This window comes from Homo sapiens, chromosome 11, assembly GCF_000001405.40.
Source record: "Homo sapiens chromosome 11, GRCh38.p14 Primary Assembly".
Taxonomy (NCBI): domain Eukaryota; kingdom Metazoa; phylum Chordata; class Mammalia; order Primates; family Hominidae; genus Homo; species Homo sapiens.
In genome coordinates this window covers 34332342-34353058 of record NC_000011.10, presented here as the reverse complement: position 1 = coordinate 34353058, position 20717 = coordinate 34332342, and the positions used below count along the sequence as shown (strand labels likewise).

Here is a 20717-nt window from a genome sequence, read left to right as displayed (position 1 = left end):
ACAGAGTCTTGCTGTATCACCCAGGCTGGAGTGCAGTGGTAAAATCGTAGTTCACTGCAACCTTGAACTCCTGGGTTCTAAGGGTTCCTCCTGCCTCAGCCTCCCAAGTGGCTGGGACTGCAGGCATATGCCACCACACCCAGCTAATTTTTAAAATTTTATTTTTGTAGAGACAGGGTCTTGCTATGTTGCCCAGGCTGGCCTTAAACTCCTGGGCTCAAGGGATTCTCCCGCTTCAGCCTCCCAGAGTGCTGGGATTACAGGCATGACCCATCATGCCTGGCCATACACAACTTTGCCATTTACATGAGTGGCCTGGTGCAATTTTCTTAACCATTCTAACCTTCAATTTTGTCATCTGCAAAATGGGACATAGTAAGAGCACCTAGCTTATATGGGTGGTATGAGAATTAAATGAGACTATAGATTGAAAGATCTTAGCACATAGTAAATGCTCAATAAATAGTAAATTCATTCAACAATTATTGAGCACTGACCCTGTACCCACCACTGTTAAAAGTGCTGTGGACTAAGTGATGAACAAGGGGAAAAGCCCTCCTCTCATGAAGTTTATAATCCAGTGGAGGAAATGAGAAAAAGTAAATAAGCAAGGATTTTCTCTTGGTAATGAGTGTTGTTTAAAATATTTTTTTTAAAGGGCAGGGTAATGGGATGGTGTGACGGGGCTAATTTAAATGACAGTCAAGGAATGCTTCTCTGAAGGTTTATTAGTAATAGCCAGTAATATCAATACTACTAAGGACCTTTAGGCCAAAAATAGTGACTGAGGACTTTTCTGAATGATTCAGTTATTCACCAGCTGAGAGAAGTCTCAACATCTCACTTAGAGCTGAGAAAGAAAAGGGCTGCATGTAGAGCAGGGACGAAACCTCTTCTGGTTGTGGGATTTATTTAGTGATGAGATTGTAGGATGAATTTCTACTGAGAGAAGCAACTGAAGCAGCAAGGGTTGATTGAGCTTGTCAGGTGGTGTTTAATCAGTTTCCACACCTGGGTAGTCTGAAGGATGAGGGCTGCTTCCTATCTCTTTAACCATTTTATTAAAGCCAAGAGAGTTGGTAAAACTGAAACAGAGCAAGCTTTGGAAATGAAAAATTTTTTTTTCTCGCACGCCTGAGAAAGGCAACCCTAGCCTTAAGTAGTAAGAGGAACAAGGTAGAGTTGTTCCACTTCCTCCTACTGAAAGCTCTACCTGACTCCCCCAGCTGGAAGAGCCACCCCTTTGTGATGTTTCCTCAGCACCCAGGACATATTCTTAAATCATTTCCTGCTTGTGTGTGTCTCTCCCATAAAACTGTGCACTTCATAGGCATTGCTGTCTTCCCTGTACCTCTCATGGTGTCTACAATATGTGCTCTATAAATGATGGGCAAATGATAGATCCCGCCATACAGGTTTAAAATTTGTATTTGAATTCCTTTGATATATCAGAACCGTCCCCATTTCTACCAAGGCAGAAAATTTCCAAGTTGTTCTCAATGAATAGAGTCAGCATTTTGGGGCTACATCCAACCTTTGGGTACCCTGCTTTCTAGCAGGGTTCCCAAGTCTGGCTTTGATGTGCAAGATGTGAGTTGGGGGAATTTTCAGTTTAGGAGAATGTCTTCAGTGTACAATACCCAAGAGGAAGGGCTTCACAACAGACGTCTGGTACAGCAGGCCACAGAAAAGTCAACAGGAGGATTGAGTTGAAGGTTTCCTTAAGAATGGAAATACCAACCGCCCCCTTGCCAACAGAGCTGCCCCAGAGGACAATTTATGTTGATGACTATTGCTCAGAAGAGTTTACATCTGTGTCCCACTCCATCTGCCTCCAGTCTGAGGACTGAACCAAGGTAATCAATTGCCAAGACATTCCTGGGTTGGCATCCCAAGAATGGGAAGTTCTGAAACAAACCAGAGACACTTGGTTGCACATCCTCAGCTTTGTCCTTATCCCACCTCACCATCAGTATTCATCCTTTGTCCGACAGGTCAGTGGGTAGATGCTTCGCCTCTATTTCTACTCTTATGCAGCTGTAGTAATAGGTCTGACTTTTCCACAACACCTCAAGCTTATTCTCATCTGTGAGCTTTCTAGGTCCCCATGAGAATCCTGTGAATGTGTGTCCTTTCACTGAGAGGTCTCCATGAGTCCAGAATTCACAGCTCAATAATAACTAAGCTCAATAATGACTAAGTCCCATTTTGCTCAAGCCCCAGGCCTGTGCTTTTCCTATAAAGAATTACAGAATCCAAGGTAGCAAATACAGGTCAGTACTTGGCCCCATTCAGATGGCAGCTAGGGTCAAACTCATAGCAAGAACAACACTTGTTATAGGTCTTGTTTGTTAATGGCCTATGGTGTCCAGACACTTTACATTTGTTAGGCCAGTGAGTGTTCACGACCACAGTGAAAGAGCAGGCACTGACACCCAGGGGTGTATCTTCCTCCAAAGGTTGCTGTTACTCTGTTTAAATGCTGCTTGCTGGCTCTCCCCACCCTAGAGGTGCCACTGATTTTAAAGAGCCATTATTGCTGCTCCTGGGGATGGAAGAAGAGGGCACAGAGAGCTCTGCTGCCCAGGGAGGGCCTTTATAAGTGTCACCTGCTGGTGACCAATAAGCTCAGCTGAATAGAGAAGCCGCAGAGTACACTGCGATGCTCTTCTAAAGGATGGGCGGGTCAGCTCAGCAAAGGCTAATACATGAAGGAGAGAAGGCACCAAGAGGGATTTGAGTCTAGGTCACTGGTCTTGGGGAGCTTGGTGCACCTGTCCTGGAGTTGGCAGAAGAGCCTGTATGAAGGGGGCTTTGATTTCCTCCGAGTCCCCCATGGTGTCCGGCTGCTGACTCCATCTCGGTGTTTAGAGCACAGGGAGAGAATGAGTCAGCGATGTAGCAAAGCAGTGAAGGGCCCAGACTTTGGAGTCTGAATTGAGTCCCAGATTGATTTGCCTCTTACTGACCTAGGCCTTCAAGCAAGTCACACTATGTTTCTATTTCCTCTACTGTAAAATGAGAGGCTTGTACACATGCGGTTGTGCCTTATGCATACTCAGTGCCCTGGGATGTGAGAGATGCAGCCAGGCTTACTGGTGAGAGCACAGCACGGGGTGGGGCTGCCTGGCTGTAATTCCTCATAACTTCACTTGGGAGCTGTGTGACCCTGGGCAAGTTGTTTCACTTCCGTGCCTTAGTTTCTTCCTTGATCACAGGGCACCATTGACATTTTGGACTGGTTAATGTTTTGTCATGAGGTTGTCTTGGGCATTGTAGGATGCTTCATAGCCACCACCAGTTGAGACCATCAAAAATGTCTCCAGACTTTTCCAGATGTTCCCTGGGGAGCAAATTCACCCTTGGCTGTGAAACACAGCTCTATAAGATAGGACTGAAAATAGTACCCAACTCATAGGATGGTTGTGAGAATTTCATAAGAGTCCCTGTGAGGGACTTTGTGTTATGCCTGACACATAAGATATTCTAATTGTTTTTAACAAACTTGTGTTGGATCCACTGATTGTGTTCATTTTTGCCAAAGTCTCTGGTGCAAGGAGGGTCACGACCCAAATCTCAGGGAGATGGGTATTACTCGCAAGGCTTTCCTTGGTGGCTAACAGTTTGTTTGTGGAGGTAGGAGGAAGTTATGGAATCTGGAAAAGCACCCTTGCACCTTGCTCAGTTATGGCTCGATTACCCCCAACAACAAGTGGTCTGGCAGTGGGCAGAGAGATTAGATCTCACCCTCTGAGCTCAAGCCCATCTCTGCCAGGATGACAGCAAGAGTGCACATTCAAAGCTCCAGGCCCCCAGAGAGCAATTCTCCTGTGGATATTGGACCCTGCTTGTGGCAGCCGCCAAATCCTCAGCCACAGATCATAGCAGGTGTTTTGTGTTTTGCTGGCCTGTCATGTAAACACACTTTGTGGTCTTCCTGCTTGTTTTAAAAAAGGCCTAAGTGCTTTTGCAGCTTTGGTTGTGTGCTTGGAGCTGCATGCAGGATTGGGAGGAGATACATAAGGAACACAGCCCAAGTACTCCTGAGGAATGCCATGCCGGCATCATTAATCAACTGCTCACTGAGTGCCAGCTACATCCAAGGCAATGGAGACAGATTAGCAAGGGACAAGAATCTTGACTGTTTTGAGTTTAGAAGTGTTTAGAATCTAGTAGGGAAAGCAAAGCATATATACAGATAGTTACAAAGAAGTTTATAGTGACCACCTTCAAACAAAGAGGGGAGCAATGGCGATAGACTCCACTGTCTAGTCTTCATTGCTGGTTCCCCATTGCGGGTGCTTTTCAGGAGCTGTTTCATTTAATCCTCCCAGCTCCTCTGGAAGGTAGATATAACTTCCATCCCATAGTTGGGGACCTTAAAGCTTCTGGTGATTAGAAAGCTTAAAGGGAAGAGATGACTCCTGGCTGTCTGGGTGGAAGGAAGTCAGGGTTTCTTTGTGGAGGATGTGGCAGGTGTGCCAGTGATTTGGGCAGGTAGAGCTGCGACTGCGGAGATGGGAGGGGATGCAGAGCCCCCAGAGGCTTCCAGGCAGAGGGAACAGTGTGAGCAAAGACCTGGAAGCCAACGCATATGTGTTGGAGAACAGCAAGTTCTCCTGTTTGGGTGGAAGGTTCAGATACATGACAAGCAGGAACAGTGGAGATAACACAGGAAAAAGGAAAGCTTTCCCACATCTTTTATCCAGATGTTAAGAAGCCTGCCAGAGTACAGGATGAGAGTTTTCCAAAACTTATTTTCATAATTCAGAAATTGAGTGTGTCTTCTCCCTAGCTCATCTTAACCATGGCCCCAGACCTCCAATTACTCCTCTTGGTGATTGAAAGCTTGACCTCAAAAATGCACCCGTCTGCTGTCCTAGCAGTAAAAGCATTAAAAGAAGACCTTAACTGAGCAAACTTGGGTTGTGAGGGGTTGAAGAACAAGGCTTCTATCAACCCTTCTTTTCTTGTTGAATTTGGCTCTGACTTTGCATTTCTTCCGTGGCCCTGAATGTAGCATTACAGGCCAAAGCAATCCCAGTACAGAATGAAGGTCAAGACTGGCAAATGTGTTAAACGAGGCCATTGGATCGACTCTTGCCAAAGCAGGATTCTTAATCGTGGAGCATAAAACAGGGTGAGAGAAGATGGTCCCAGAACTTTTTTTTTTCGGTGTTAAGTCCGACTGATGTATACGATATTCGACTTCCAGTTTAGGGTTTATTATTTTGGACAATAAAAGCTCAATTCTCAGAGATGCTGACATTTTAATTCTTAGTTAATGTGTTTCCAGAGCATTGATAATAAAGATTTCAAGCATATTAAATGCTTAATATTGTGGAACCACCTTATAGCTAATTGTCTTCTGAATTGGAGTCCCTAAGGTGCAGCTGAATTCTGCTGATAATAATAAAATGTGATAGGTCATCAATGGCTTAGCTAATAACTCAGGTGTCGGTCTTTTTCCGGACTCCAGTGTTATGAAGGGAAGGAATTTTCTTGTCACTTGACAAAGATAAACTTCATGAACATATTGCAAAAATACATACACAGTCATTTGTAGTTAGTGACTTGAGGCCCACAGTTTCCTTTCTTTCTTTATTTTTATTATTATTTTTTTGACACAAAGTCTCACTCTGTCACCCAGGTTGGAGTGCAGTGCTGCGATCTCAGCTCACTGCAGCCTCCTCCTTCCAGGTTCAAGCAATTCTTCTGCCTCAGCCTCTCAGTTAGCTGAGATTATAGGCAGGCACCACCACACCTGGCTAATTTTCATATTTTTAGTAGAGACAGGGTTTCACCATGTTGGCCAGGCTGGTCTCGAACTCCTGACCTCAAGCGATCTGCCCGCCGTGGCCTCCCAAAGTGCTGGGATTACAGGCATGAGCCACCATGCCCGGCCCATGGTTTGCTTTCTAAAAGTAAGCTGAGGAGAGTCAGGCCCATGATGGAAAAATTAAACAAGAAAACTAAACTTGGAAGCCTGGACATACAAGGTTAGAGTTGAGGAGACATTAAACTGGACCTCAAAGAGGTTGAAATGGGCCTCTCAGTGCACGAAAACCCTCCCTACAGTTGAGGCCAAGCTTTTATTGAAACCTTTACAACTTTTTTTAGTCTGTACATTTTAAAATATGAAAATTAGTATTTGCTGTGAGGAGAGCTATTAATAAACACAAGCCTGAGGCTCACACACCAAGTGGGTGTACGTGCACAAGCATCCGGAACAATCCAGTACAGAGCTATGAGGATTTGGATCCAGAAAATTCTGGGGTGGAGCTTGCCCCGTCTGTGACCTGGCATGAATCATTCCATCTCTTGGATCTCTGTTTCCTTATCTGTGGTGTGGAGAGGTCAGACTAGATTCCCCAAGGGCTTTTCTGTCTCTGATAGTGTTTCTAGACCCCACATGGACACTGTGCAGTCATTTTCCTAAGGTCGAGCGCTGTAATTAGTATCCTTGGGAAAGAAACACCCAGGATGGTGCTGGACGAGCTCTTTGAAGACCTGGCTTGGTAATAGGGCTGGACACTGTCTTTTTAATATTAAGATTAATTGTGATTACTGTACTCAGGGTTTTCCTGTGCCCCTTTCCCCAGAAAGATGAGTGCTACATGCTTTTGGCCGACCTCATGCTTCAGTGCTTGACAGCTGCATCCAGGTCCTGGCAGGCCGGCACTGTGGTGAGATCCAGCTCCGAGGTGACTTCATATAGCATGTGCTTGAAGCCCGCCTACCCAGACTTGGATATTTATAGCAGGGGAGCAGCTAGAAAAAAAAAATTAAATATGCTACACCCTTCTTTATACGATGTGGGACAGAGACAGGCATTGTGAGGAATTTCAAAGGCAGAGCTGTATAATCCAGCAGGATATTTTTAAATGCTGTTTGTTGCCATTGGCAGGGCCGGTGTTTCAAAGAGGAGGGAAAATGAGAGTAACTGAGGATGACAGGCTGCCAGGAATGCTGAAGGCCGAGACATGGAGCTCCATGCTCCGAGGTATACAGGCTCTGAACCCTGATGTACTTCACAGTCACATAGCTTGAATAGGGCTTGGGCAGGTCAGTATGAGAGGCTGGGGAAATGGGGTGGCTTGCCTGTTTCTCTTCCCCAACCGGCCCATCTACCCGTCAAATCCCAAGTTGAAAATTGATGAAATCTTCTGGAGAGGCAGAACATATGGCAAAAAAAGAGTTGCTTTTGTGAAAGCCAGGGACCTGGTTGTTTCTTCTTCAGCCCATCTCAGCAGCCGGGTAATTAAAGTTGTACATGGGGACACAATTTGGAAGCAAGTTGCTTGCAGCTGTTCTTCTGGACTTAATCCACTTGAGTACCAGCTGGGCAGGCCAGGACTATGCTGGGACCCAATTCAGTAGCAGGTGAGAAGGCCTCAGGGGTAGGGCTGCCTCTGAGAAGGCATCGCAATGTCCCCCACCTGTCCAGTGGGTGCTTGTAAAGTATTCTAAGTAGTGTTTTCTACCACACTGGTCTTTGAGGAGACAAATGATGATGGCGGGGGTGGGGAGTCTGAGGACTGTGTAGGGGAGAGGCCAGGAGTTCTGTTTGGGTTACATCCGTTTGTTCACCCAACAAATATTTATTGAGGACTGTGTGCTGGGCACTGTTCCAGGAGCTGGTGATGCAACAAATGAATAAAAGGGGCCTGAAGGAGGGCAGGGTGCAGGCCCTGTGGATAATGAGGCAGAGTGAGGGGAATCACCTGAGGCCAGCCTGGCTGGAGAAGACAGCTCTAGGCAGAGGGAATAGCAAGCATTCCTGGTGGGTTCAAGGAGCCACCAAGGAGAAGCTCCTTCCGTGCGGCTGGGGCGAGTGTAGCAGGAGATGTGGTTGGAGAGGAAATGGTGGGGTGGTTAGTGGGGTAGGCCATTGGGTAATAATTCATTGGCTTTTAGTTCTGAGTAAGCTGAAAAGCATTGGAGGGACTCAAGCACAGAGTGACTTGATCTGATTTGTATTTCCACAAGGTCACTCTCTCTATTGTGTTGGAAATTGACTTTAGTATCAAGTGTGGACGCAGCGGGACCAGCCACTGGCACTTGCCAACAGCTTGGATGTGTGAGGTATGAGAGAGGAATCAAGGATGACACCAAGTTGCTATGGTCTGAGCCCTGGAAGGAGGGAGTGGCCATTGACTGAAGTGGGGAAAGCTGTGTATGGAAGAAGCAGGACTGCACCAAAGATCCTAGTGCGGTTTTAGTTGTCTGTCTCAAATCACATACAGATATCAAATAGGTTGGGCCGGGCACAGTGACTCACACCTGTAATCCTAGCACCTTAGGAGGCTGAGGCAGGTGGATGGCTTGAGTCCAGGAGTTCGAGATCAGACCGGGCAACACGGTGAAACCCCGTTTCTACAAAAAAATACAAAAACTAGCCAGGTATAATGGTGCACATCTGTGGCCCCAGCTACTTGGGAGGCTGAGGTGAGAGGATTGCTTGAGCCCAGGAGGCAGAGGTTGCAGTAAGCCGGTATCACACCACTGCATGCACTCCAGCCTGGGCAACAGAGTGAGACCCTGTCTCCGAAAAACAAATAGGAAGTTGGCTGGGAGACAGGCCACCTTGAACTTCATTAGTCATATGATGGATTGAAATATTGCCCTTCTTTGCCCTTCCAGAGGGTGGGCTCAGTATAGCAGGGCTGCATAGAGACTCAGACAATAGAGATTTAATTTTCAGTCTTACGATCTTTGGCTGATGGCCATAAAAGCCCCTGAATTTTGCTTTCCAGCTTCTTTGTAGGCAGCCAGCAGCCTTTAATAAAGATCATCAACTCTGTTGTTTCCTGTCATTAAAATGGGGGCTGTTTAATTAGTCCAATTGTTCTGTGGATCATTGTGACTTTGCGTCTGTGTCCTTCAATTCTGGGAAAGCAAGACTCCATTTTTCAGGCAGCTTTGGATTCCTGGAGGTCAAGTGTGGGTCTGAAATTTGGCCGGAAAAAGAACGCTCTTAGGTGGCTTGAGAAGGCATGGGGCCTGGAGTGGTGTCCGAATGGTTTGGGAGTATCCAACCGCCTGTTGGATGCTTTGACCTCGGCTGCTCAGGAGGGGCAGGGTGCAAAGCCTGGCTAAGAGATGGGGTCTGAAGGAGTTGTCACTGTCTGATTGCCAGCTAGATAGCTGAGGTCTCTGCCCTCAGTTTTCCTCTTCTGTTAAATGGGGTTGCCATAGTTCCTAGCTGATAGGGTTGTTGTTTCAGTGGTTTTCAATCCTAGATTCACGTTAGTATTATCTGGATAGCTTAAAAATAAAAGTGTCAGCCAGGCATGGTGGCTCAAGCCTGTAATCCCAACGCTTTGGGAGGCCAAGGCAGGCAGATCACCTGAGGCCAGGAGTTCGAGACCAGCCTGGCCAACTTGGTGAAACCCTGTCTCTACTAAAAATACAGAAATGAGGCGGTGTGGTGGCAGGCGCCTGTAATCCCAGCTACTCGGGAGACTGAGACAGGAGAACTACCTGACCCTGGGAGGCAGAGGTTGCAGTGAGCGCAGATCACACCACCACACTCCAGCCTGAGCAACAGAGCGAGACTCTGTCTCAAAAGAAAAAAAGTGTGTGTATGTGTGTGTGTGTCTGTCTGTCTGTCTTAAGGCCCTACCTCCAGATATTCTGAAATAAATGGTCTGGCATGGGGCCCAGACCATGTGGGTAGCATTCCTGGGAGAGCCTGGTATGTAGTGAGGATGCAGACATTAACTATTATTAGTGGTAAAAGCATCCTTGTTCTGGAGTATGTCTTTTCGCCCCACCTAGGATGGTGACTTTCCTTCATTTCACAGCCACAGCAGCTTTGGCTAACTCATCTAGAGGGATCACCAAAGAACACTCAAGAGAAGCTTGAACTGTTAGGTTTACATGGAAAGGGCATGGCTAGATCTAAAATGGGAGCAACATATTAGCCCAGAGTGCTGGCGCACACCTGTAATCCCAGCTACTCGGGAGGCTGAGGCAGCAGGATTGCTTGAACTCAGGATGCGGAGGTTGCAGTGAGCCAAGATCGCACCACTGCCCTCCAGCCTGGGTGACAGAGTGAGACTCCATCTCAAAAAATGAATGAATGAATGAACGAATAAATAAATAAATAAATAAATAAATAAATAAATAAATAAATGAAATGGGAGTGACACCATAAGATGTTATTTGCCCCACTGGTAAATGAAGTGAATACTGTGATTCCCATCTTTAAGATGAAGAAACAAAGTCACAGAGAGGTTTGGTAGCTTGCTCACGGTCATGCAGGTAATAAGTGGTGGTCCAGGCAGTCTTACCCCTGATTCTCTACTCTTCAACCATGTGTGTTCCCTCCCCAGCCAGAGAAGCCAAGAGACTGAATTCTCAACTCTGATACCCAGCACAGACCTACCGTGGGTCAAACTTTTACGAAGCACCAGACCCCGGCCCATGTGCTTCACATGTATTATATCATGTGATTCTTACCATCATATATACTCTTACTCCCATTTTGCTGCTGAAAAACAAGCTCAGAGAAGTTCAGGTGACATAGCTAGTCAATGACACAGCCGGGCTCTTTGAGCTCTGAAGTCCTCATTTGCCCTGTGGCCTCCTGTCCTCAGGAGTGGCCTGGGTGGGGACGAAGCACATGCAGTGATTTCCTGAGCAAAGAAATGAATGGGTTGGCCCAAGAGGACAAGAGGAACTGAAGCAAGGCCAAAGCATCCCTCACTGCATCTCAACAACTGAGCCACTGGGGGCCTGAAAATAGTAACATTGCCCAGTAGGGTGGCCAGCCAGCTGCGCCTGAGAACTGTGGGGTAGGTATTTGTTTCTCTGCGTGTTTAAAGATAATACCGTATGAAGCACATTGTTTCTCTTCTGTTAGTGTGAATGAAATTGCCTCTGAAAGGTTGTGTGTATTGGTTGCTTAAAATAGCTCAAGAGGAAGAATGTTTGGAAGCTGTTAGCTCCTTGAGTCTATTTCCTTGATTTATGATACCTTGGAGAGTGTGGGACCTCTTCTTGTTTACCCTTCTGGCTTTTTCTTTCTACCGTGTTTGAGTCCTTGTGTCATCATAAGCCAAAGGCATTTGTCACCAGAAAATGTGGCAACCTTTCCTAAGTAATTTAATGGGGGACCCTTTACACGTTTAATCTTTTTCCTTAAAGGGAGGAAAATGGGGAGAGGTCATTTGTTTTGGAAATGGCCATTTCTCTCTTCCAGCTGAAAACGTTCCAAGATCAGAGCAATGGCATTTGCTTGGGAGTAAGAAAAATTTGTTTTATTTTTCCGTTCACACTGAGGCCTGGCCTGGGAACTCATGAGTTTTTGTAGAACTTCCATCTTGTGGTGCCCAGGAGACCTGACAAGCTGTGAGTGAGAGGAGCCACAGAGCTGCTCTGTTCAATACGGCAGCCACTTGCCACAGGTGTATATTTAAATGTATTCAAATTCGATAAGGTTAAAAAAAACCATTTCCTCAGTCATGCAAGTCACATTTCTTGTGCTCCCTCGTCATATGTGGCTAGTGGCTACCATATTGGACAATGCAGATATAGAACATTTCCATCATCGCAGACAGTTCTGTGCAACAATACAGCCATTAGAGTGGGTCAGTGGTGGGTCGCTTGGGGCCAGCTTTCTGGGTTTTCACAGGTCTAAAAATTTCAACCATTCCCCAGCTTCTCAGAAGCCCTCTGTTTGCAGAAACAAGAAGATTCATGGAAATGGAGATTAAGGCCATTGGTTCTTGTGGCTCTAACCTCTGGACCCTTGACACAAGGTCGGGTTTTATCATTTCCAAGCTGCGTGGCCTCAGGCAAGTCACTTAGCCCCTCTCAAGTTGTTTCCTCCTCAGCAAAATGGTGTTTTAAAAAATACCTCCCAGGGATGATGTGACTATTTAAACAAAATAACAAAATGTATATAAAACAGTTAGCATAAGGCTTGGCACACAGTAAGAACTTAGATGTGTTACAATGTTTTACCTGCATTTTCTTCTTTGAGCCACACAGTATCCCGCAGAGGTAGATACTGTTGCTGATTTCAAGATGATGGAAGGGGCTTTAGGGAGTGCTATTGCTACCATCACTGCCACTGTTCCTACTGTTGATATTCCTAGGCTTGGGTTCTGCTTTTTCCTCTAAGGCTCATCTTTCCTACTGAGCTTGTTGACTGGCTTCTTGTCATAAATCAGAGGATGTTTGTTTGTTTGAACTAGGAGGTCTTCTGAGCTTTCATTCAGGGACTGTTTCTTCCACCATGGGAGGTGAGCTCTTTCAGAGGTGTTTGCCTAAAGCTGGCCTATTGGTATCTACCTGGAGAGCCGCCACCTGGACAGCTACTGCCAGGATCTGGGGCTCCTTGGAACTTGAGGTTAAAGTTTTTAGTGCTTCACATGACCTGTGGTCCTTTGGCTGAGTCTAACAGAGGCTTCACTGAGATCTTAGCTGAGGGTGGCTTTGGGAGGAGTATCTCTGAGAAGAGTAGGACCAAAAGAGTCCTCTCTTGAGCTGTAGAAAGGATCCTTCTGAAAAGATATTTGGTCACACCTGGGTCCTGGGTTGGTTCGCACCTTGACTCCCCCAGTCACTTGGCTAGATCATATAGCTAATTATTTAACTTTGCAATACCTCAATCTTCTCATCTGCGAAATGGCGATTATACTAAAACTACCTGGCAGGCTGGTTGTGCGAATTAAATGGGATGATGCTAAGTAAAGCATTTAGCCCAGCACATGGCAGGTAGCAGCCACCAGGTATGAGCTACTGTTGCCATCTTCATTATTGTTGCTTCCCAGCAATGGCATTTGGTGCACTATTTTTTCACGTATTGTTCGCATTTTCTCCTTGAGAATGTCTTATCTGTCTAGTCAGAAAAAGCGACCCAGAAGGGGTTTAGTGTGTAAAGTGAGTGTCTAAGTTAAACTTGCATATTATGGACTCTGTGTGGTCTTTTATTCTTCCTTCTTCCCTTCCCTTCCTTCCTGTCCTTTTTTCTTTTTTTGTTTTTGTTTGTTTGTTTGTTTGTTTGGAGGATGGTGGGGCTAAGAAGCATACTGTGCAGTTATCATAAAGCATGACTGTGCAGTTGTCATTCTGGTACCCCACATGGTGACCAGCCTGCCTCCTTCCTGCTGGTTCCAGCTGTATAACAAGCTAACAAGCACCACCCAGTCAAACAGTGTAATCAGAGCTGGATTATTTCTATAGGATTAATTTGTGGTGTGAAGTGCTCATGTATTTATGCAATTGCCACTCGTTTGCCAACATCCAGAATGTGCTAAATCTGCCACTAGTGATGAAATCCAAATAACTTGGAATCATATGTAGGGAATCCAGTAATTTTCATCACCATTGTTACAAGAGAGGAGTTTAAACTGGGGGAATCCAAATGGCACCGAGAAATGATGATATCCCTGCTTTCCAGGGATGATTCTACTCAGGGAAGCACCAATCTCAAAGAGAAAACAGGAAGGACACAAGGCCAGGATATTGCATGATTGTGTTGCCATTGGTGTAACTGGGTCCTCACTGAGGGCCCTCCCAGGCGACCACACCATCGTCTTTTGTGAGGCTTCTCTGGCACTGACAGATCACTCATAGTTAATGGGTAACTCAGACTCTTCTTGCCAAATAGTTGCTTTGTTTGTTATCTGTGCTGTGGTCGCCTTCATTGTCCCCACAGCCCCTCAGGCCTCAGAAGGATGTGGTGTGGAGTGGGGTGTGGTGACCTCTAGCATGAGCCCACACACTTCTTCCCCTTTCCCTTAAGTCACTCATTGCCGGAGCTGGCTGGTTGCAGAAACATCTTGAAGCACTTTAAAAATTGATGTTCTAGACTGGGTGCAGGTTCTCACACCTGTAATCCTAGCACTTTGGGAGGCCTAGGTGGGAGGATCACTTGTGGCCAGGCGTTGGAGACCAGCCTGGTCAAGATGACGAGAAATGGTGTTTTAAAAAATACCTCCCAGGGATGATGTGACTAAACAAAATAGCAAAATGTATATAAAACAGTTAACATAAGGCTTGGCACACAGTAAGAACTTAGATGTGTTACAATGTTTTACCTGCATTTTCTCCTTTGAGCCACACAGTATCCTGCAGAGGTAGATACTGTTGCTGATTTCAAGACGATGGAAGGGGCTTTAGGGAGTGCTCTTGCTACCATCACTGCCACTGTTGCTACTGTTGATATTCCTAGGCTTAGGTTCTGCTTTTTTCCTCCAAGGCTGATGAGACCCTGTCTCTATATAAAAGTAATAGTAATAAATAAGTTTTGAAAATAACATTAGTATTCTGGAACCCACCCTGAATCTATTAAGTGAAAACCTGTAAAAGTGGGGCTAAGACATCTGTTTTTTTGTTTTGTTTTGAGAGGAAGTCTCCCTCTGTCATCCAGGCTGGAGTATAGTGGTGTGATCTCAGCTCACTGCAAGCCTTGCCCCGGTTCAAGTGATTCTGCCACCTCAGCCTCCCAAGTAGCTGGGACTGCAGGTGCACCCCACCACGCCCGGCTAATTTTTTTTTTTTTTGTACTTTTAGTAGAGATGGGGTTTCACCATGTTGGCCAGGCTGGTCTCAAACTCTTAACCTCAAGTGATCTACCCACCTCGACCTCCCAAAGTGCCAGGATTACAGGTGTGAGCCGCCATTCCCGACCAGAACATCTGTATTTTTTTTTTCTTTTCTTTTTTGAGAAGTGGTCTCACTCTGTCACCCAGACTGGAGTGCAGTGGTGCAGTCTCAGCTCATTGCAACCTCCATCTCCTGAGTTCAAGCAATTCTCCTCCCTCAGCCTCCTAAGTAGCTGGGATTACAGGCATGCGCCACCACACCCAGCTAATTTCTGTACTTTTCATGGAGACAGGGTTTCACCATGTTGGCCAGGCTGGTCTTGAACTCCTGATCTCAGGTGATCCACCCTCCTTGGCCTCCCAAAGTGCTGGAATTACAGGTGTGAGCCACTGTGCCTGGCCGACATCTGTATTTTTAAAGCAACTCTTGCGGCGATTCTAGATAAACGGGCAGGTTTGTGAATTCCATCTACATCACTGGGGGTGGATTTTATTCTGCGCTCCTCTCACAGTATGTATGGGGCAAAGGACCCTCTTGAGGATGTACAGTTTGGGAAAGGCCAGTCTTTGAGGGTCTTCTCTGTGGGTGGTAAGATGGAGATCATGGTTAGGGTGATTTGAGTAGGGGGAGGTGGGGAGAGGTGTTAGAAAGATAACCAATGTTTATTGGATGCTATCTCGTTTAATTTTTCCAACCAAATGTGATGAGTCGGTGGTGATAAAAATATAGGTTGTTATTTGCCGAATGCCTACTATGAGGTGAGCAGGACACTAGTGATTTGCATGCAGTATCTTGTGGAATCCTCACTACAGCCTGTGAGCTGTAGGTCACATTATTTATCCTCATTTTACAAATGAGGAAACTGAGGCCTTGAGATAGTTGAAATGACTTGCTCGAGGTCACCCATACACACAAGTAGCAGAGCCAGCGTTTGAGATTAGTACTGTCAGACTTCAAAGCCCACGTTTTCCATGCTGAAAGTTTTAATCAAAAGCATTAGGCTATTGGGTCAAATAAGAATCCTGCATTATAAGTACAGTGTCAGAATTTTTTGAGAAAGCTGCTTGTGCCATCTTTCCTCAAGGTACGGCCCTTTGGCCTTTCCAGTCCTGGCTTTGAGAACCTTGTTATTTCCCTAGGCTGAGACCAGCAGCCAGTCAGCTGTGCCCGTCCTAAGGCTGTCTGTGTTGTGGTCTGCTGTTCCTCCTCCTCAACCCCTGCCTCCTTCCCTACACAGCCCCTGCATGCAACTCTTCTCCCCAGACAGGCGCAGAATCGGGGCCTTCCTCAACAAATAAGCCAGGTTCCGGAAGTGCTGCAGTTTCCACCCAGGTGCAAGCCCAGCACAGGCCTCCTCTTAGCCAGCACTCATCCGAATCCACTCACTTGCACTCAGGTGGTTGTCCTCCTCAGTAAACTGAGAAGCAGTAGGGCCTTGTGATTGACGGTGTGGGTATGAAGCTGGACTGCCTGCATTCAAATCTTGGCTCCACTTCTTCTTGGACAAATTACTTCATATCTCGGTGCCTCAGTTTACTTGTCTGTAAGATAGGGATAATCCTGTTTCCCTCATATGATAGTTGTGGACAAGATTAAATGAACTACACCTCGTAAAATGCTTGGAACAGGACCTGGTGTGTGAGTCTCCCGTATGTTAGTCATGATGATGGTGATGATGATTACCAGTTTGGGGGTTATCTTTGGCCACCCTTCCTTTGGCATGGGGAGGGAGCCCACCCATATGCAAGCATTAACCCTGAGTCTTACAGTAGGGAAATAAGGGCTTTGGAAACAAACCCGGGTCTAACTGCAGGTAAGCTGCTTTTTTTTGTTTGTTTGTTTGTTTTGTTTTTTTTTGAGACAGGGCCTCCCTCTGTCACCTAGGCTGGAGTGTAGTGGTACGATCATGGCTCATGACAACCTCAAACTCCTGGGCTCAAGTGATCTTTCCACCTGATCCTTCCAAACAGCTGGGACTACAGGCACAAGTCACCACACCCAGATAATTTTTTAAAATTTTTTATAGAGATAAGATCTCACTATGTTGGCCAGGCTAGTCTCAAACTTGTGGCCTCAAGCAATCCTCCTGCCTCAGCCTCCCAGAATGCTGTGCCTGGCCTGGCTGCTTTTTTAATGTGGTGCTAGGCAAGTACCTCAACCTATTTGTTTTTTAATCTATAAACTTGGAATGATAGTAGTACCTGCCTTATGGTGTTGTAAATGTGAAATGCAAAAGTGTAAACAATGCTTCTCAGAAGGTGCATGGGCTCAGCTGACATTGAATGAATAGGAGGAAAAATTAGTTGAATAAGCTTTAGTAGTAAGTGAAAAAAATAAGCTCAAAAGATTATATTACAGCACAATACAATGTAGAGAAATTAAAAACAAATATTGGATGGCAGGAACGTCAGGTTCTGGGACAGCTGGAGACAGTGGTGGTGACTGGAATAACTTTACCAAAGGAAAGCTATTTAGTGAACTGTCCCCTCCAGTAGAGTTGGCCAATGTGCTTTGTAACAGAGCCAGACTGTTTTCCTATCTCCCAGGATTTTACTCTTTAGTTAAAACGTTGGCAATCCCAAAGCCTTTTCAACCGCAGGATTGTCAGGTTTAGGTGTCTCATGTGGCCGCTCTACCTCCAGATATATGCTCTCAAAAGGTGTGGCCTGATGAAACTATGGGACCGTTTGGACCTCAAGATCAGAGGTTCAAGCTTCCTGGGATCATAGGTTTTGATTGTCACCTCAATGGGACTGCTTCACAGAAGAAAAGCCTGCTTTATAAAACTTTGCCTGATGTTCTAGCAGAAACTTTATCAAGTGAAAGACACAAGTTTGTGATGACACAATATGTGAATGAATTTCAGGGTAATGATGCACCTGTTGAACAAGAAATTAACAGTGCAGAAACTTAACTTTGAAAGTGCCAGAGTGGAGTGTGCAATACAAACGTGTCCAGAATTGTGGCGAAAAGATTTTGAATCACTGTTTCCAGAAGTAGCTAATAGCAAATTAATCATTCTGACTGTAACACAGAAAACTAAGAATAATATGACTGTTTAGAGTGAAGAAGTAGAAACTGAAAGAGAAGTGCTCTTAGAAAAGTTCATCAATGTTGCTAAGGAAATTTGCTGTACTCTTTGTGCTGAGGGATATTGGGCTGACTTTACTGACCCATCATCTGGTTTGGCATTTTTTTGGACCATATACAAACAACAATCTTTTTGAAACTGATGAATGCTACCGACATTTAGGATTCTCTGTTGATGACCTTCGATGCTTAAAGTGATTCGTCATAGTCTCTGGGGTACCCGTGTAGTTGTAGGAAGCATCTTCACTAATGCAACACCAGACAGCCATATTATGAAGAAATTAAGTGGAAATTAGCGGAAATGTCCATTCATTTGCTGTATTATTTGTATGTAATATTTGGGTTGATCTATAAACACTGTCAGACTAAAGTTTTTAAAATATACTTATTTCTATTTATTTCAGCATTTATGAATTTACAACATTGGTAAGTGATATGGGATTTTAAAATTGCAAATGTTCATTATTCATATCATTGAATACATGTTGAGCACACCCACATTGTATAGGTTGTGGTAATTAGCTTGTAACTAGGGTATTATCTGTTATTGTTATTTCTCCCCTTTATTGGAAAAAGGCCTCAGTTTTAATTACTTTCTTCCAAAAATAAATCACACATTTGGTTACGAAAAAAAAAAAAAACCCAAATATTAAGATGTGCTGAAGGAGTACATTACAGGCACAGTAAATACCATGTAAGAGAGAAAGTGAGGGGATGGGAAACACGGTTGATGGTTATGCCTCATGGGAAGAGGGAAAGGGAAGGATTAGGGGAGGGAGGGTCATATGGTTTAGATGCATGTAGATGGTTGCCAAGGCTCTAGCTTTTGTTTGGGAGTTGAGTTCACATTATAGCTAATTAAAAATGGTCATGAACCAAGGATTATGATAAATCCAATTTGTGCACCTGAGGTTAAAAAATTAGTGGGTTCTCAATAGGTGGTAGCTATTTATTATCCCATGAACCACCTGAACCATGCCACAGGCCACCATTCATACCCTTTCTGATTGCCTCTCATCTGTGCAAAATGCTCTGAGAAGTGAGTTTTCTCTTCCAGCCACAGTGGCTTTCACATGGAGAACACAGAACAGTAGGGATATTTAAGTTGCCTGGATTCTTAGGTTGGGGCAGGTCTTAGGCATGAGCTCCCGTATGTGTCTAAAACAGTTGAACAAAGACAGGGTTGTTTTTGTCCTTGCTGTGCCAGATGTAAAGGCTTTCATTAGAGTCACCTTAGGAGCATTCATGTTAGCCAGGAGATTTTCCTTCCAAGAGAAGGAAACGTTTGGGTTGGATCTGATAGTGTTTGCCTTGGTGTGATTTTAGACCTTTCTGTTTCCATCGTCACCACTCAGCATCATGACTTTTGCCTGTGGCTTTTTTTTTTTTTTTTCACCTGTGGCTCCCTTCCCTTAGTGGAAAGGGGAAGCACCAAGATGTTTGAGACACATCAGTCATGTGCTTGCAGATCCCAGCATCTGGGTATAACGTATCCTCATGTCCTGCCTCTGAATCTTGAATTTGACAGAGTAAAGGAGACAAGAACATAGGTTTTGGAATTAGGGAGACCTGGGTTCAATTTTGGGATCTTCACTGTGTGATTTGAGCTGGAGGCATTACCTGTTTTTCCTTTATTTTATTATATTTTATTTTTTGAGACAGTCTCACTCTTGTCATCCAGGCTGGAGTGCAGTGACACAATCTCAGCTCACTGCAACCTCTGCCTCCCGGGTTCAAGCAATTTTCCTGCCTCAGCCTCCCGAGTAGCTGGGATTACAGGTGAGCACCACGATGCCCAGCTAATTTGTTTATTTTAAGTAGAGACAGGGTTTTGCCATGTTGGCCAGGCTGGTCTTGAACTCTTAACCTCAAGTGATCTGCCCACCTTGGCCTCCCAAAGTGCTGGAATTACAGGCTTGAGCCACCATACCCAGCCTGTTTTTCCTTTATTTTTAGTTTTTGGGAATTTTGTTTGTTTGTTTGTTTTTCTTATTTATTTGTTTTGTTTTGTTTCTCCTTTAGTATAGATTGGGATGCATAAAGACCAGAGTCTTAAATGCACAGCTTGATGAATTTTTACCCAGACATGCCGCTATGTAACTTACCCAGGTCAAGATCAAGATTTAAAACACTCCTGCCTAGGAGACACCCTCATGGCCATTCCTTGTTAGTGTCTACCCCACATAACTATTATTCTGACTCCTGCCACCTTCAATTACTTTTACCTGTTCTTGAACTTCTGGGGGTAGGTAAATTATTAAACCTTTCTGAGCCTCAGTTTATTTTTTAAAGTGATAGTACTTGTGCTATAGGGTTGGATTAGGAGAATCAACTGAGACAACACATGTAAAATCATTCGAGAAATATTTGTAAAACCCTTGATGCTTAATAAGTTAAAGCTGTTTGTTTATGAATGGCCATTGTTGACCTCAAAGTCTTTGCCTGTTTCTCACCCAGACGAAGCAGGCATTTCCCCAGTGCTCACCATAATTCATGTTCCTGTGCCCTCCATTTCCTTCCATGTCCTGTGACTCCCTGAACGCACTTCAGAGACTGTTCCATCAGTGGCTTTCAGGATTTTTTTTTTTTTTTAACTGAAACCAGTTCTTCTTGCTTAATAAGGCAGAGGAAATGGGCAGGAAAGCAGAGTTCTCCTGCCTTTGCCTCTTTTTCAAAGAGGGTCTGTTTGCTCTATTAGCAAAATCAACAGAGGCATTGCTGGACAGCGGGCTAGGCTGGACCAACTCCCCTGGGCTCGGGGGGTGGTCCCTGGATGCTGGGTTTGCTGAGGGCCAGGAGTGGGTCACTGTGTGCTTTCAAAAGCAGCTGGAGGAGCCAGTTTTTCTAGCTCCTCCTCAAAAAACCCAACCAAAATATCTACCCCTGTGATTGGCTAAAATTATCCAATTATAATTTAATTCCCTTAGGTCAAGGGTGGATGGGTGCATAATACCCTGAGTGTGAGTGTGGGGGTTACATTTTCGGAGGGAATAATTTTGCGTGTAGGATTCCATTTGACCTTAGTCTGAATGATTACTAGCGTAGCCTTTCCTTAAGGTAGGTCTTCA

The 20717-nt window shown here is 45.0% G+C and overlaps 1 protein-coding gene and 1 pseudogene across 1 annotated transcript in view, besides 1 other annotated feature; both read left to right on the top strand.

The window, feature by feature from the left end:
* Window positions 1-20717, top strand: part of ABTB2 (ankyrin repeat and BTB domain containing 2) — a 207024-nt gene that overhangs the window by 4952 nt on the left and 181355 nt on the right. The gene's annotated exons all lie outside the window — the stretch shown is intronic.
* Window positions 864-913: an enhancer, noted in NCBI's record as "active region_4601". NCBI's record gives its function as "activates an Ori minimal core promoter by ATAC-STARR-seq in GM12878 lymphoblastoid cells {active_cell/tissue: GM12878}" and the evidence as "EXISTENCE:reporter gene assay evidence [ECO:0000049][PMID:35858748]".
* Window positions 16951-18275, top strand: MMADHCP2 (MMADHC pseudogene 2; annotated as a pseudogene).